The 18,810-nt window shown below is 37.9% G+C and overlaps 1 long non-coding RNA gene across 1 annotated transcript in view, besides 1 other annotated feature; it reads left to right on the top strand.

Moving 5' to 3' along the window:
- Positions 1–18,810, top strand: part of MIR4280HG (MIR4280 host gene) — a 73,290-nt gene that overhangs the window by 27,319 nt on the left and 27,161 nt on the right. The window lies entirely within an intron of this gene.
- Positions 10,907–10,956: an enhancer, noted in NCBI's record as "active region_22749". NCBI's record gives its function as "activates an Ori minimal core promoter by ATAC-STARR-seq in GM12878 lymphoblastoid cells {active_cell/tissue: GM12878}" and the evidence as "EXISTENCE:reporter gene assay evidence [ECO:0000049][PMID:35858748]".

The raw sequence follows: 18,810 nt of genomic DNA, 5'->3' as shown, positions 1-18,810 counted from the left end.
CAGATTATGTAATTTTTCAGGGTATATGCAAACATGTTTAGTTTTCCTACTTGCTGTTCCAACAAATTGCAGTCATTCAAAATGGAATGTAATAAACTTCTTTAATGGATTTGTGGACATAATTTTCAAATCTGTATTTGTGATGGATGAACTGTTTAAATCTAAATATGGGAGATGCAACTTGGAAATCTGTTTATAGATATTTGGACTGAACTTCCCCAACAGGAGAGAAATAAAATTAATTTATTCAGATTGCGCTCCTGCTTAAGATAAGCAGAAAAAAGTGGTTTCTGCTATTAGATCTAGTGTTAAACTACAACCACAAGAGGAGAAATAGTTTCAGAATGCTCTGTGAAAGTAGCAAGTATGAAAATCTAAATGTGTGATGAAAAGCGAACTCTCTCTCAAGGGCAGAATTTTCAAAGGGAACTTTCCTTAAAATCTCTTTAGATGTTCAATCTGTAGTATGAACATTTAATTTTTTTGCTTGGCTTTGAAGTTGTACCCATTTAAATCTGCTTTGTGACATGTTAGAAAGGAATATATGTTTGAGAAGATGTCTGCATCATCTCTCAAATTAATGCCAAGGGCAAGAGACTAGGCCTTTGAATTTACCTTTCTGGGACAAAATCAGAAGGTTTGGGAAGTTATAATTTTAGAGAGACAGGAAAATGCATAAGCACCAATCAGTTTCTGTATCTTACAGATTGTTTGAGAAAGATAATTTAGCCTTTATTTTTATTGTTAAGAACCTGAAATGATTGCTACATATATAAGTATTTTTAAATGACTTAATTCAGATTCAGAATTAAGATTCTGAATTAATATTGAGACTTTGAAAGATTTTCTCCCCCTCTCATCTAGAGGCATGAATTTTCAGAACCCTTCCTAATAATCTTGTGATAGGCTTGGATTCTACCCAAAGCATGAAGAAGGATGGAGCAAAAATTCCAAGGAGGAGGAAAGGTGAGAGGTAAAATATCATATTGCGATCAACTGAATGAAATTAATGTTTATGTAGAAACTATCCCTTTGCTCTCCCTTTGAAATAGTTGAGAATTGTCTTTTTCAACTTAGTGCCTCCTGGTTCTTCTTTGTCTTGGATATATTATATTAGTGTAGAAAATTAAATGTACATGAAAGCCTTTAAATTAACATTGGGGAAATAGTTAAAAATTGTTTTCAAAGGTAGATTCTTTTTCTTACTAAAGTGAATAAAGTTCATAAGCCTATAAGCTATTAAGCTAGGTGTTTGTGTGATCCTTTTCTGAACTAATGACACCTCAATTAGGATAGTGGTTTGAGACTTATTTTAACAAGCCACCTCTTACTTCATTTTTTTCTAGATTTTACTGACTGTATCTGAAACCTCTCAATAGTTCTCTCTACTCTCGAAGTAAAATCCATTTTCTTATTAATTTAATTCATCTAATTTAAGTATCTGTTGATTGTGTAAATATTCAGGAATTTACCCATCACTTTATTAAAATAAATCAAAAGAATATTGAACAACTAATCAAAGTAATGTGTAGTTTTGGGTGCTTGGGGTATTCATTAGTGGCTAGCACATAACTCTTTCATTTGGATGGCTTGCAGTCTACCAGAAGGTGTGTGTTTGAAAATACCAATAAGACTAGAAGGAAAATAGTGTTTCAGGAGAAAAGGGGACCCTTATTTAAGGAACTTCAAAAGATGAAATTAGCTACATAGTGGTTTAGTATTTCATTTCCACTAACGTCTCCAACTTGCAACCAGGAATCCTTTCAAAGTGATTATTTCAGGAGTACAACTGGAGCTTGCTTAAAAGAGATTTTGTTTATTAAGTATCTTCTGAATAATTCTTGACTCCAGGCACCTTTGTGTATTTCTAGGTTTTTTTGTTTTTGTTTTTGTTTTTGTTTTTGGCAAAGCAGACACATATATTTATTTCTAGCATAAGATGACAGGTTCTACAGTGACTTTATTTATTTTTATTTCTATTTTTTTGGAGACAGAGTTTCGCTCTCGTCGCCCAGGCTGGAGTGCAGTGGCACCATCTCGACTCACTGCAACCTCTGCCTCCCGGGTTAAAGTGATTCTCCTGCCTCAACCTCCCCGAGTATCTGGGATTACAGGCACCCACCACCACCACGCCCAGCTAATTTTTGTATTTTTAGTAGAGATCGGGTTTTGCCATGTTGGCCAGGCTGGTCTCAAACTCCTGACCTCAGATGATCCACCAGCCTCAGCCTCCCAAAGTGCTGAGATTACAAGCGTGAGTCACCGCACCTGGCTCTACAGTGACTTTAGAAAGCCCACTGTCTCTGTAGGGGTTGTTAAGAGATAACATCAACAACAAGCAAAGGGTCTTGGGGAAGGAGAGACATAATTTTTCTTGAGCCATCACTGTGAGATGCCACGGCCTGCTCCAGTCTTTTTATGTCTCCAAGCAAACACAAGTTATTTATGAAAAAGTATTTATGTCTTCTTGGCCGGCTTCATATGCAGATCTTCTCACTCTCTGGAAATTTGATCTGCTAGCATGTCACAGTCTGAAATACTGAAACTGATAATAATGTCAATCCCTACACAAAGTTTGGGGATCAGTTAACTGTGATCTGTCAAAAACAATTGTCCTAGCAGTCAGGGCAGAGTAACTCTGATTTTAATTTTGATGTCAATCTTGACTTTAATTTTGTTATTTCATTACTATTCATACTGTATTAAAGATTAAAAGATAGTGAATAAGAAAAAGAGAGAACATTCTAGAGGTTTGATGAGAACCCAATCTACAAAGTTCTATTTATTTTACTAATTAATTAATTTAACTTGATCCCTTTGGTGTGCCATTTTTTTTTATTATTATACTTTAAGTTTTAGGGTACATGTGCACATTGTGCAGGTTAGTTACATATGTATACATGTGCCATGCTGGTGCGCTGCACCCACTAACTCGTCATTTAGCAATACAATGAACTCCAACAAATTTACAAGAAAAAAACAAACAACCCCATCAAAAAGTGGGCGAAGGACATGAACAGACACTTCTCAAAAGAAGACATTTATGCAGCCAAAAAACACATGAAAAAATGCTCATCATCACTGGCCATCAGAGAAATGCAAATCAAAACCACAATGAGATACCATCTCACACCAGTTAGAATGGCAATCATTCAAAAGTCAGGAAACAACAGGTGCTGGAGAGGATGTGGAGAAATAGGAACACTTTTACACTGTTGGTGGGACTGTAAACTAGTTCAACCATTGTGGAAGTCAGTGTGGCGATTCCTCAGGGATCTAGAACTAGAAATACCATTTGACCCAGCCATCCCATTACTGGGTATATACCCAAAGGACTATAAATCATGCTGCTATAAAGACACATGCACACGTATGTTTATTGCAGCATTATTCACAATAGCAAAGACTTGGAACCAACCCAAATGTCCAACAATGATAGACTGGATTAAGAAAATGTGGCACATATACACCATGGAATACTATGCATCCATAAAAAATGATGAGTTCATGTCCTTTGTAGGGACATGGATGAAATTGGAAATCATCATTCTCAGTAAACTATTGCAAGAACAAAAAACCAAACACCGCATATTCTCACTCATAGGTGGGAATTGAACAATGAGATCACATGGACACAGGAAGGGGAACATCACACTCTGGGGACTGTTGTGGGGTGGGGGGAGGGGGGAGGGATAGCATTGGGAGATATATTTCTAGGTTTTGAAACCCGAATATTGTCCTGCTTCTTTTAGAAGTCAGCCTCCTCTATTGTTTGGTGGAGGAGGAGTGAAGATAGTTGTCTAGCTGTCTGTCCTGAGTCTTCTTCAGGGACATGCATTATTTTCCAGCTGCTCTTAGCAGTCCTTTCATGGTTATCACACCATGTTTATAATAATTTCAAAAGGGAATTATAAGGTAGAAGAGTAAATGTTTAAAACCATGTTAAATAGGACTTTTCCCAGAGAACCAGAGAAAATGTACCTAAGTAATTCACAAGGTAAATTTAATGAGAATTTCCCAAGTCCTAGTTGATTCTACTTGCCCTCTTTCCAGCATCTCCTCCAATTCTCTCTGTGATCATCTCCAACCACCTCTCTCATGAATTGCCATTCCACTTGCAGGAAGGCTCCTGTTCTGTGTCCAATTCCTTCTTCCTACATTTGTGCAGTCTGAGAAGAGCACATCTGGAGAAGAGCTTCTAGGGTCCTTAGGATGGTCAGAGATAGTTGAAACCTAAGCCTGTATTGTGGCCACCAGTTTTCTTATTCTTTGGTCCAAGGTAGATGCATTTTCCATGCTGAATTTTCTTTTTTTTTTTTTTTTTATTATACTTTAAGTTCTAGGGTACATGTGCACAACGTGCTGGTTTGTTACAGATGTATACATGTGCCATGTTGGTGTGCTGCACCCAATAACTCGTCATTTACATTAGGTATATCTCCTAATGCTATCCCTCCCTCTAACTCCACCCCACAACAGGCCCCGGTGTGTGATGTTCCCCTTCCTGTGTCCAAGTGTTCTCATTGCTCAATTCCCACCTATGAGTGAGAACATGCAGTGTTTGGTTTTTTGTCCTTGCAATAGTTTGCTGAGAATGATGGTTTCCAGCTTCATCCATGTCCCTGCAAAGGACAAGAACTCATCCTTTTTTATGGCTGCATAGTATTCCATGGTGCATATGTTCCACATTTTCTTAATCCAGTCTATCATTGTTGGACATTTGGGTTGGTTCCACGTATTTGCTATTGTGAATAGTGCTGCAATGAACATATGTGTGCATGTGTCTTTATAGCAGCATGATTTATAATCCTTTGGGTATATACCCAGTAATGGGATGGCTGGGTCAAATGGTATTTCTAGTTCTAGATCCCTGAGGGATCGCCACACTGTCTTCCACAATGGTTGAACTAGTTTACAGTCCCACCAACAGTGTAAAAGTGTTCCTATTTCTCCACATCCTCTCCAGCACCTGTTGTTTCCTGACTTTTTAATGATTGCCATTCTAACTGGTATGAGATGGTATCTCATTGTGGTTTTGATTTGCTTTTCTCTGATGGCCAGTGATGATGAGCATTTTTTCATGTGTCTGTTGGTGGCATGAATGTCTTCTTTTAAGAAGTGTTTGTTCATATCCTTTGCTCACTTTCTGATGGCGTTGTTTTTTTCTCGTAAGTTTGTTTGAGTTCTTTGTAGATTCTGGATATTAGCCCTTTGTCAGATGAGTAGATTGCAAAAATTTTCTCCCATTCTGTAGGCTGCCTGTTCACGCTGATGGTAGTTTCTTTTGCTGTGCAGAAGCTCTTTAGTTTAATTAGATCCCATTTGTCAATTTTGGCTTTTGTTGCCATTGCTTTTGGCGTTTTAGACATGAAGTTCTTGCTCATGCCTATGTCCTGAATGGTAATGCCTAGGTTTTCTTCTAGGGTTTTCATGGTTTTAGGTCTGACATTTAAGTCTTTAATCCATCTTGAATTAATTTTTATATAAGGCATAAGGAAGGGATCCAGTTTCAGCTTTCTACATATGGCTAGCCAGTTTTCCCAGCACCATTTATTAAATAGGGAATCCTTTCCCCATTTCTTGTTTTTGTCAGGTTTGTCAAAGATCAGATGGTTGTAGATGTGTGGTATTATTTCTGAGGGCTCTGTTCTGTTCCATTGGTCTATATCTCTGTTTTGGTACCAGTACCATGCTGTTTTTGTTACTGTAGCCTTGTAGTATAGTTTGAAGTCAGGTAGTGTGATGTCTCCAGCTTTGTTCTTTTGGCTTAGGATTGTCTTGGCAATGTGGGCTCTTTTTTGGTTCCATATGAACTTTAAAGTAGTTTTTTTCCAATTCTGTGAAGAAAGTCATTGGTAGCTTGATGGGCATGGCATTGAATCTGTAAATTACCTTGGGCAGTATGGTCATTTTTCACAATATTGATTCTTCCTACCCACGAGCATGGAATGTTCTTCCATCTGCTTGTGTCCTCTTTTATTTCGTTGAGCAGTAGTTTGTAATTCTCCTTGAAGAGGTCCTTCATATCCCTTGTAAGTTGGATTCTTAGGTAATTTATTCACTTTGAAGCAATTGTGAATGGGAGTTCACTCATGATTTGGCTCTCTGTTTGTCTGTTATTGGTGTATAAGAATGCTTGTGATTTTTGCACATTGATTTTGTATCCTGAGACTTTGCTGAAGATGCTTATCAGCTTAAGGAGATTTTGGGCTGAGACGATGGGGTTCTCTAAATATACAATCATGTCATCTGCAAACAGGGACAATTTGACTTCCTCTTTTCCTAATTGAATACTCTTTATTTCTTTCTCCTGTCTGATTGCCCTGGCCAGAACTTCCAACACTATGTTAAATAGGAGTGGTGAGAGAGGGCATCCCTGTCTTGTGCCAGTTTTCAAAAGGAATGCTTCCAGTTTTTGCCCATTCAGTATGATATTGGCTGTGGGTTTGTCATAAATAGCTCTTATTATTCTGAGATACGTCCCATCAATACCTAATTTATTGGGAGTTTTTAGCATGAAGGACTGTTGAATTTTGTCAAAGGCCTTTTCTGTATCTATTGAGATAATCATATGGTGGTTTTTGTCTTTGGGTCTGTTTATATGCTGGATTACGTTTATTGATTTCCGTATGTTGAACCAGCCTCGCATCCCAGGGATGAAGCCCACTTGATTGTGGTGGATAAGCTTTTTGATGTGCTGCTGGATTCGGTTTGCCAGTATTTCAATGAGGATTTTTGCATTGATGTTCATCAGGGATACTGGTCTAAAATTCTCTTTTGTTGTTGTGTCTCTGCCACGCTTTCATATCAGGATGATGCTGGCCTCATAAAATGAGTTAGGGAGGATTCTTTCTTTTTCTATTTATTGGAATAGTTTCAGAAGGAATGGTACCACCTCCTCCTTGTACCTCTGCTAGAATTCGGCTGTGAATCCATCTGGTCCTGGACTTTTTTTGGTTGGTAGGCTATTAATTATTGCCTCACTTTCAGAGCCTGTTATTGGTCTATTCAGGGATTCAACTTCTTCCTGGTTTAGTCTTGGGAGGGTGTATGTGTCCAGGAATTTATCCATTTCTTCTAGATTTTCTAGTTTATTTGCATAGACATGTTTATAGTATTCTCTGATGGTAGTTTGTATTTCTGTGGGATCAGTGGTGACATCCCTTTTATCATTTTCTATTGCATCTATTTGATTCTTCTCTCTTTTCTTCTTTATTAGTCTTGCTAGCGGTCTGTCAATTTTGTTCAACTTTTCAAAAAACCAGCTCCTGGATTCATTGATTTTTTGAAGGGTTTTTTGTGTCTCTGTCTCCTTCAGTTCTGCTCTGATCTTAGTTATTTCTTGTCTTCTGCTAGCTTTTGAATGTGTTTGCTCTTGCTTCTCTAGTTCTTTTAATTGTGATGTTAGGGTGTCAATTTTAGATCTTTCCTGCTTTCTCTTGTGGGCATTTAGTGCTATAAATTTCCCTCTACACACTGCTTTAAATGTGTCCCAGAGATTCTGGTATGTTGTGTCTTTGTTCTCACTGGTTTCAAAGAACATCTTTATTTCTGCCTTCGTTTTGTTATGTACCCAGTAGTCATTCAGGAGCAGGTTGTTCAGTTTCCATGTAGTTGAGCAGTTTTGAGTGAGTTTCTTAACCCTGAGTTCTAGTTTGATTGCACTGTGGTCTGAGAGATAGTTTGTTATAATTTCTGTTCTTTTACATTAGCTGAGGAGTGCTTTACTTCCAACTATGTGGTCAATTTTGGAATAAGTGTGATGTGGTGCTAAGAAGAATGTATATTTTGTTGATTGGGGGTGGAGAGTTCTGTAGATGTCTATTAGGTCCACTTGGTGCAGAGCTGAGTTCAATTCCCGGATATCCTTGTTAACTTTCTGTTTCGTTGATCTGTCTAATGTTGACAGTGGGGTGCTAAAGTCTCCCATTATTATTGTGTGGGAGTCTAAGTCTCTCTGTAGGTCTCTAAGGACTTGCTTTATGAATCTGGGTACTCCTGTATTGGGTGCATATATATTTAGGATAGTTAGCTCTTCTTGTTGAATTGATCCCTTTACCACTATGTAATGGCCTTCTTTGTCAATTTTGATCTTTGTTGGTTTAAAGTCTATTTTATCAGAGACTAGGATCGCAACCCCTGCCTTTTTTTGTTTTCCATTTGCTTGGTAGATCTTCCTTCATCCGTTTATTTTGAGCCTATGTGTGTCTCTCCACCTGAGATGGGTCTCCTGAATAGAGCACACTGATGGCTCTTGACTCTTTATCCAATTTGCCAGTCTGTGTCTTTTAATTGGAGCATTTAGCCCATTTACATTTAAGGTTAATATTGTTATGTATGAATTTGATACTGTCATGATGTTAGCTGGTTATTTTGCTCATTAGTTGATGCAGTTGCTTCCTAGCATCGAAGATCTTTACAGTTTGGCATGTTTTTGCAGTGGCTGGTACCAGTTGTTCCTTTCCATGTTTAATGCTTTCTTCAGGAGCTCTTGCAGAGCAGGCCTGGTGGTGACAAAATCTTTCAGCATTTGCTTGTCTGTAAAGGATTTTATTTCTCCTTCACTAACGAAGCTTGATTTGGCTGGATATGAAATTCTGGGTTGAAAATTCTTTTCTTTAAGAATGTTGAATATTGGCCACCATTCTCTTCTGGCTTGTAGAGTTTCTGCCAAGAGATCCACTGTTATTCTGATGGGCTTCCCTTTGTGGATAACCCGACCTTTCTCTCTGACTGCCCTTAACATTTTTTCTTTCATTTCAACTTTGGTGAATCTGACAATTATGTATCTTGGAGTTGCTCTTCTCGGGAATATCTTTGTGGCATTCTCTGTATTTCCTGATTTGAATGTTGGCCTGCCTTGCTAGGTTGGGGAAGTACTCCTGGATAATATCCTGCAGAGTGTTTTCCAGCTTGGTTCAATTCTCTCCGTCACTTTCAGGTACACCAATCAGACGTAGATTTGGTCTTTTCACATAGTCCCATATTTCTTGGAGGCTTTGTTCATTTCTTTTTCCTCTTTTTTCTCTAAACTTCTCTTCTTGTTTCATCTTATTCATTTGATCTTCAATCACTGATACCCTTTCTTCCAGTTGATCGAATCGGCTACTGAAGCTTGTGCATTCATCATGTAGTTCTCACGTCATGGTTTTCAGCTCCATCTGGTCATTTAAGGACTTCTCTACACTGGTTATTCTAGTTAGCCATTCATCTAATCTTTTTTCAAGGTTTTTAGCTTCTTTGTGATGGTTTCGAACTTCCTCCTTTAGCTCGGAGAGGTTTGATAGACTGAAGTCTTCTCTCAACTCGTCAAAGTCATTCTCCATCCAGCTTTGTTCTGTTGCTGGTGAGGAGCTGCATTCCTTTGGAGGGGGAGAGGTGCTCTGATTTTTAGAATTTTCAGCTTTTCTGCTCTGTTTTTTCCCCATCTTTGTGGTTTTATCTACCTTTGGTCTTTGATGATGGTGACGTACAGATGGGGTTTTGGTGTGGATGTCCTTTTTGTTTGTTAGTTTTCCTTCTAACAGTCAGGATCCTCAGCTGCAGATCTGTTGGAGTTTGCTGGAGGTCCACTCCAGACACTGTTTGCCTGGGTACCAGCAGTGGAGGCTGCAGAACAGCAAATATTGCTGAACATCAAATGTTGCTGCCTGATCGTTCCTCTGGAAGCTTCGTCTCAGAGGGGTACCCGGCCATGTGAGGTGTCAGTCTGCCCCTACTGGAGGGTGCCTCCCAGTTAGGCTACTTGGGGGTCAGGGACCACTTGAGGAGGCAGTCTGACTGTTTTCAGATCTCAAACTCCGTGCTGGGAGAACCACTACTCTCCTCAAAGCTGTCAGACAGGGACATTTAAGTCTGCAGAGGTTTCTGCTCCCTTTTGTTTGGCTATGCCCTGCCCCCAGAGGTGGAGTCTACAGAGGCAGGCAGTCCTCCTTGAGCTGCGGTGGGCTCCACCCAGTTCAAGCTTCCTGGACGCTTTGTTTACCTACTCAAGCCTCAGCAATGGCGGATGCCCCTCACCCAGGCTTGCTGCCGCCTTGCAGTTTGATCTCAGACTGCTGTGCTAGCAATGAGTGAGGATCTGTGGGCATGGGACCCTCTGAACCAGGCGCAGGATATAATCTCCTGGTGTGCTGTTTGCTAAGACTGTTGGAAAAGTGCAGTATTAGGGTGGGAGTGACCCGATTTTCCAGGTGCCATCTGTCACAGCTTCCCTTGGCTAGGAAAGGGAATTCTCTGACCCCTTGCACTTCCCAAGTGAGGCGATGCCTCATCCTGCTTTCGCTCATGCTCACTGGGCTGCACCCACTGTCCTACACCCACTGTCTGACAAGCCCCAGTGAGATGAACCCGGTACCTCAGTTGGAAATGCAGAAATCACACATCTTCTGCGTTGCTCACGTTGGGAGCTGTAGAGTGGAGCTGTTCCTATTTGGCCATCTTGGAACCACCCTCTTCCATGCTGAATTTTCTTTTAGACAATTAAGGAAATGTGAACTACAGACATTTATTAAACTATAACATCCTGAGAGCAAACATATGTACCTCTCCCAAAGACAAATATTAACAATCAGGAGTAGCAAAGTTCAAACCCATATTGAAAAATAAATTTTCTTTAATAAACAAATCCCAGTTTCCTTCCTGTGGAGTCAGTGTACCAGTAGGCTTTTACTGAATTACAAACTAGAACAAAACTTAGTGGCTTAAAACAGCTGTTTATTTAGCTTATGATTCTGTGTGTTGGTGATTTGGGCTGGGATTATCTGGTCACTTTGCTCCTGATTGCAGCTTATGGGTTCTCACTTCTGTGTCTGATGTCAGTTGTCAGCTTGATTGGGGCACAGTTTCACATGTCAGGTAGTTAGCTCCTTGTTATGTGGGGTGATAGGACAGCCTAGGTGACATGTCTCTCATCAGCTAGCACAACTGTTCACATCCCATCCTCCAGCAAGCCTATTCTCAGCCTCCAGCATGCTTATTCAGAAGGACTTATATACATGGCAGCTGATGGGTTCCCAGAACAACCAGAAGGCAAGTCCCAAAGTGCAAGCACTTTTCAACCCTCTCCTTGTGTCACTTGCTGAAGTAAGTATCCTTGAGTAACGCAAGTCAAACAGCCAACCTAGATTTAAGGGGTGGAGAAAAAGGCTACCTCTATTAATGGGAGGATATACAAAGTTACGAGAAAAAAACACGGATGTGGGGAGAGGGAAAATTTGCGGCCATTTAAAAAAACAGCAAGACCTGTTTTTGTGCAGAGTAGAAAGTGTTTTCTCTTGCTTAGAATTTACCAGAATGAGAGAGGGAGAACATTATGCTTTAATGGGTGGTCCCTTTTATAGCCCTGGAAGGTGCCCAAGTTGACAGTTCTTTACTTCTCTGCAAGTCTCCCTCCAACAACAGGGAAGGAATGAGACTGGGGAAAGAAAAGAATTGCCCAATTTTTCTCATTGTCATTGATATTGATGTAGCCAAGACAATAAAAATGTTAAGACCAAATAAAATAGTCTGATTTTGTCATGTTTTAAATTGTGGAGGGTCACAATTTATGACCCCCTTTATCAGAATGGGAGAGTTGAAGTGGCTGTTTAGCTGCATAAAACAACCAATTGATTGTGTTTTTTTTCTTCACTTTTTTTACCTGTACAAAAATACTTAGGCAAGCCATACACTCATATCTAAAGCCAAATAGATATATCAGTAACAGAAAGCTGACACAGTTTGAAAGATTCCAGAATTTCTTGGGTTAAGAAATTATGCCCTAAAACACCAATTAAAAGACAAATGTATTTCTATAGAGTGAGTACTGAGGAAATTAAATATATAGATAAAAAACCCAATGATTTGATACAATGGAATCCAGTACAGAAAAAATTTTATGAAGAAGATAGAAGGAAAATATGATGATATATTACATTGATATGTCAATAAGAAGTCATGGGTTCTGAATATATATGGAATTTTAAGAAAGGGGAAAATTCATACTATATACATAATTGACTTCCTATTTCTGCCTAGGCATGTATGTTCTCACATGATCAAATTTTGCATGTACATTTTCTCCTAATTTGGTACTTAAATTTCACCTTTCAAAAATAATTTGTGTGACAGTAATAGAGGAGTAAATAATGTCACCAAATAGTATTCAAACATGTAAGCATCACTAATGAAGACACATTTTGAGCACATTTTTTTCTTGTATTTAAAGGATAATAGTACTTATTGCTTTTGACTCTCATATATTTGCAAAAAAAATTTTTAAAGTCTATAGAAAAACTGATGGGACACATGCTGTTGGGTGATAATCTCATAAAACCTCTCAGTAAGAGCGATGGATGGATGGCCAGAGTCTACCCTTTATGTATTTGTATATCCCTCTATTCTTGTCATTATATTAAAAACTACAGAACATTTATTACATGAAGATACTGTTAGCAAATATACATGTTGAGCTAATGAGGCTTGTGCCCTATACTCTTGCAGTTTATAATATACCAGAGTCCATTGAATATATCCCACAGACGTATAATCAAGTAGATAACCAGTAAGTTGAATAAGTACAAAAATGAAGTTGGGAAGTTATACATGAGTAACAAACTGAATGTACTTTATGGGATTTCTGGTGAGAAGACCACATCCTACATGCATGTTTAGACCTCCTAGGATGGTAATAAATGACTACCTTTCTGAAAGAGTGAAGGGTTTATGGAAGAGATAGTATTTCATGAGTTCTTCCTATGAAAGGAGGGGAGGGTATGGTCCTCTGACAGAAACTCTAGGCTCTTTACTTTTCTGATACTGTGGTGGTTTGAGAGTAGCCTTTCATCTTAGTCTTGAATTCTTAAGTATCTTTATATTGACATTAAATTGAAAATGGGCATAAAATTACATAATTGGAAAACACATAAATAGTTACAACTGAAAGTAGTTTTGGGTGCCTCTGTCCCTTCTTCTGTCTGCTTCAATGCAAATACATACATGTTTCTGACTCCTTTCCTTCCATTTGTGACATTCTAAGTCAGAGAAAGCTCTTTTTACTGAAAACTGCCCAGACCACCCTGCCCCTGAGGAATTTTATGTTCTAGGATCTAGTTTCCTTGTACATATGTAGGCAGCTCTTGCTTTTATCTTCTCAGCTAAATTAGTTCCTGCATGTTGAAAAAGGGGAAGTGGTGAACCGCCCCCACGGAAGACTTTATTTGGTTTTTAAAAGCAGGTTTGTTACGATCCTGTTGTGGTTATTATAGAAGACAATTTTAGCACTTTGAGCTGTGTGTTTTCCAGAGGAAGTGTTTAAAGAATTTTGCAAAATGTTGGTTAACATTTCAGCCTTGAAAGTTGTTAAAGGTCAGGATATGTTTTGTTATTAAGTTTGAGAGAATAGTTGGGGAATTTAAGTGACAGGAATAAATAAGGAAATATATCACAGTTCATGCATTTCCACACTTTCTCATTCCTACATCTTACTATCCAATATATACTGAACATTCTTTGCATGTCATTTCTTTTCCAACGGAATTCTTTGTTGGATACAACTGAAAGGGTTTTTCAAACTGTTAGTGGCTGATAATTTTACATGCAAACAATAGCACAATGTCATACTGGTGAAAGGAAGCACTGATAAATGTCTCGATATTTCTTAAATTATGGACCTATGTGGCTTATATTTCCACATATGCGAAATTCCTTGATGCAATACAGTCTTACTGCTTAAGACACATATCACTGTAATAATCTATTTGTTGGTGCTATGATGTTATAACCTGAAATTCCATACATATTATTAAAAGAAATCTAAATAGGTAAATTTGTGTCTTGACAATGAAAGAGATAATAATGTCTTACAAAGTTTTATAGTTTTTAGTTGCATTCTTTAAACCATTCATTTTAATTTTAAATTAACTTTTTGGTTATTACCAAGGAATTTGTTGTTTTGGTACATGTAGAAAAATTATATGTAAAGCAATATTACTGCTTTAGTTCCTGGAATATGGCAGGTGCTCAGTTAAACTTGTAGAATATATTATAGCCAAACAACTCATGGTTTGAAGGAAATGTTAAATCTCTATAAGGCCTAAAAAGTCTTTCTAAGGGATTGAAAGAGGAAATTAGAAAGAACCTCAAAATATCAGTGACTGGCAATCCAGTAATCAAAGGACATATTACTATACATATCATTTACATTTCAGAAATAATATTAATTGGGTATTTGCCAGTAGTCCTTATTTAGGCAGGGAAGAAAAAAATTCTCCTAATAGCAATTATACTGTACTTAATAAGCTCCTGCTATGGGCCAGTCAATGTGCTAAGTGATTCACAAATAGTATCTTAATCCTAAAAATAACTAGATGAGGCAGATAATAATATTTCCTCCATTTCACAGATGAAAACAGAGAGCAATTACATAAATTTCTTGTCTTTAAAGTAATGAGTAGAGAAGCCAGGATTTGAACTCAGGCACTTTCCAAACATAAACATTGTGATACACTCTACAATACTAAAAAAGTTAATTTGTGTATTCCAGTGGAGACCACATTGTTACTAGCTATTGTCAAACCTGAAATATTAGTACTGAAGCTCTACTCTATGTTTTGCAGAACTCATCACCTTTATTGATTAACTATGTGCTCATTCCTTTCACTTTGTAGAATTCTATTTCTGTGCTGGTTTGCACAATAGCTTAAATGTTTTCTTTTTTTTTTTTTTTTTTTTTGAGATGGAGTTTCATTCTGTCGCCCAGGCGGGAGTGCAGTGGTACAATCTTGGCTCACTGCAACTTCTGCCTCCCAAGCTCAAGTGATTCTCCTGCCTCAGCCTCCTGAGTAGTTGGGATTACAGGTGTGTGCCACCACCACCTGGATAATTTTTGTATTTTTAGTAGAAATAGGGTTTTACCATGTTGGCCAGGCTAGTCTTGAACTCCTCACCTCAAATGATCCGCCTGCCTCGGCCTCCCAAAGTGCTGGGATTACAGGGAGTAGGTCAAATTTTTGAAAGTACTTTGTTCTCCACTACCTTTATTCCTCTCACCCCACTTAGAGAACTGTGTAGGTTTCAAAGTAGAATTCTACCCGCTTATAGTTTATTACATTTTTTTCTTAAGTGTACAACTTTCTATAGCAACTCAAACAAGTGGCATTTCTCAAGGGAAAGTGTTGAATACAGTAATTATTTTAAAAAATAGTACAGAAAGTGTTGACAAGACCTCCATCTCTATGGAGAATAGTACTAGAGTAAGCACATAGTAAGTATAAGATAATACTTGTGTTAGCAAACAAGAAAAGTAGTACTGCAAGGTAGCCTCTATTCGCTAGTTTGTGATTCTAGGATTGGTTGTTGCAAATCTCGCTTTAAGGCAGGCTTTTTTCCACTGCTTGTTCCTTTCACTTAAGATTTACTTGCATAGCTTCCCTAGCCACATGGCCCACTGTGATAGCTCAGCAGATTCTGCTCTGGCTGGCTCCACCTCAGTTCTTCCTTCTCTATCTCTAATCTCTCAATGCATAACTCAAGATTCAGCATCCTGCTTTCCATTTGTGACATTTTAATCCACTGCCCCCATTTCCTGTCTTAGTCCTTTATTTTAGGTTATATCAGTGATTAAGAAAAACCAGCATTTAATTCATTATCACAGTTTTCACATTTAGTTTTGTTTCTTTTCATTTCATTTAACAGTATGCATTGCGTTTTTGGCAAACTACATTAAAAGCTCCTCAGAACTAGAATGTTTTTTTTTTTTTTTTCCATTGATGGCGATTTAGGGAAGTATTGAGTGCTCATAGTCATTGCTTTAAATTATAGTAAATAAAAAAATAAAGTCCCACCCCATTCTTATCCAAGGCCACATTTCTCAACCTCTCCATTTCTCTCAGTAGGTTCTGGTAGTATTCTGTAGGCATCTCTATTTTGAAAGGATTGTTGGAGTCACTTTTCATGTGTTCTTTTACTCTTCCATATCCAGTCTATTAGGGACTTGGGTTTCCTCCTTTTTCAGTGTTTCTCAAATTTACCCTTTCATTTCCTTTTCAAGTGTCCTATTGGTCATATCTTTATGACAACATGTCTGAATATTTGATTTAGCCTTATGGCTAATATGCATGACTTAAGTCATCCTTTTCTAAACCTAACCTGCATAGTGTCCTAAAACATGTCTTCCATTGTGTCAGCTCCTCTTATAGAACCTATAATGTTGTATTGAGATCAATTTCAAGTTTTTGGCTATGTACACAAGACGGAGACTACCTGACCTATATAGATTTATTTTTCATTGCTCCCTAATCTATGCAGTCTAATTTGCCCAGATTAATTTCACTCATTGTCTCTTCACACATACTATACTCATTCCTATTTCTCTTATTTTGAATGAGTTGTTTCAGGGGATTCAGGATGTCTTGGCTACTATCCTTTGCTTACACACCAATTAGATCTTCCTGTGTGCTTCCTGAAACGTTACCTAGACACTCAATCCTATATACAGATGCTCCTCCACTTATGATGGGACTGCATCCCAATAAATTTATCCTACGTTGAAAATATTGTAAGAGGAAAATGCATTTAACACACCTAATGGCCAGGCGCAGTGGCTCACACCTGTAATCCCAGCACTTTGGGAGGCCGAGGTGGGCAGATCACGAGGTCAGGAGTTTGAGACCAGCCTGACCAACATGCTGAAACCCCATCTCTACTAAAAATACAAAAATTAGCCAGGTGTGATTATGCACACCTGTAATCCCAGCTACTCAGGAGGCTGAGGCAGGAGAATCGCTTGCATCCAGGAGGTGAGGTTGCAGTGAGCCGAGATCATACCACTGCACTCCAGCATGGGCAACAGAGCGAGACTCCATCTTAAAAAATAATACACCTAACATATCAAACATCCTAGCTCATCCTAGCCTACCATAAATGTGCTTAGAACACTTAAATTAGTCTACAGTTGGGCAAAATAATCTAACACAAAGCCTATTCTAATATCTCATATAATTTATTGAATACTGTTCTGAAAGTGAAAATCAGAATGATTGTATGGGTACTTGAAGTAGAGTTTCTACTGAATAAACATTGCTTTTGTATCATCAAAAAGTCAAAAAATTATAAGTTAAATCATTATCACTGGGGGCCATCTGTATATACATATGATGATATATATCCCATCATTAAGTGATACATGACTGTGTACTATATACTTAAGCAGTATATATATAGAGTACATATAGTTTTGTACTATATATAGAGAGAGTAATGGATCACTTAATGATGGGGAATATGTTCTGAGAAATTAGTCATTAGGCAATTTCATTTTTGTATGAGTATCATAGAGTATATTTACATAAACCTAGATGGCATAGTCTATACACATATAGGCTATATGGTATAGCCTATTGCTCCTAGGCTACAAACCTGTACGACATATTAATAAAAAGGTACAGCATTTTACTATACCTTTTCTGTGTTTAAATACACAAATACTATTGTATTACAATTACGTATAGTACTGAATACTATATTACAATTATGTACTGTATTACAATAGTAATGGTACTATACCATAGTTAATTGTAATACAGTATATAATTGTAATATAGAATTCAATACTATAGGTAATTATAATACAATAGTATTTGTGTATCTAAACATAGAAAAGGCATAGTAAAAATATGATACAAAAGGTTTTTAAAGTGGTCCACCTGTTTAGGGCACTTACCATGAACAGAGCTTGCAGGACTGCAAGTTGCTCTGGATGAGTCACTCCCTGAGTGAGTAGTGAGTGAATGGTGTGAGTGAGTGAGTGAATGTGAAGGCCTAGGACATTATTGTACGCTACTGTAAACTTTATAAACAATGTACGTTTAGGTAACTCTAAATTTATTTAAAAAGTTTTCTTTCTTTAATAACCTTAGCTTACTGTAACTTTTTTAGTTTATAAACTTTTAAATGGTTTTAAACCTTTTGACTATTTCATAATAACACTTAAACACAAATACATTGTGCAGCTGTACAAAAATATTTTCTTTATATCCTTTGTATCTTGACATCCCTATTCCACGTACCTTTTCTATTTTTAATTTTCTTTTATTTTATAACTATTTTGCTAAAAATGTAGACACAAACACACATCTTGGCCTGGGCCTATGCTGGTGGAAAATACCACTGTTTACCACTTCTACCTGTTGTCCTGGGACATATTGCCCCTGAAGGCCTTCCGGGACCTTCATGTTGTCCTGGAACATATTGCCCCTGAAGGCCTTCCGGGGGCAATAACCCCTTCATGTAGAAGGTCCTGGAAGGCCTTCAGGGGCAATAGCCCGCATGAAACTGTCATGTCCTATGTTATGACCCATAGATTTTTCTCCTATGACAAAAATGCCTTTTCCTGGAAAGCATTCCTAAATAAATGCGTTTTTCTGGAAGGCATTCCTTCTGAAGGATCAGCCTGAGGCTGTTATCCACTTAAACTTATTTTTTAATAAGCGGAAGAAATACACTCTAAAGTAATGATAAGTTTAGCATAGTAAATATATAAACCAATAACACAGTCATTTATTATCAGGTGTTATGTACTGTCCATACTGTATGTGCTATGCTATTACATGACTGGCAGCACAGTAGGTTTGTTTATACCAGCATCATGATGATCTCATGAGTAATGTGTTGTGCTACAACATTTTGACAGCTACAGGGTCACTAGGGGATAGGAATTTTTCAGATCTATAATCTTATGGGGCCACTGTTGTGTATGTAGTCTGTTATTGACTAAAATGTCATTATGCAGTACATGACTGTACACAAACACACGCACACATGCACACACAC

The sequence above is a fragment of the Homo sapiens genome, chromosome 5 (genome assembly GCF_000001405.40).
Source record: "Homo sapiens chromosome 5, GRCh38.p14 Primary Assembly".
In the NCBI taxonomy this organism is placed as follows: domain Eukaryota; kingdom Metazoa; phylum Chordata; class Mammalia; order Primates; family Hominidae; genus Homo; species Homo sapiens.
The sequence above is the reverse complement of the archived record's forward strand: the minus strand, read 5'-3'. Positions and strand labels throughout refer to the sequence as shown.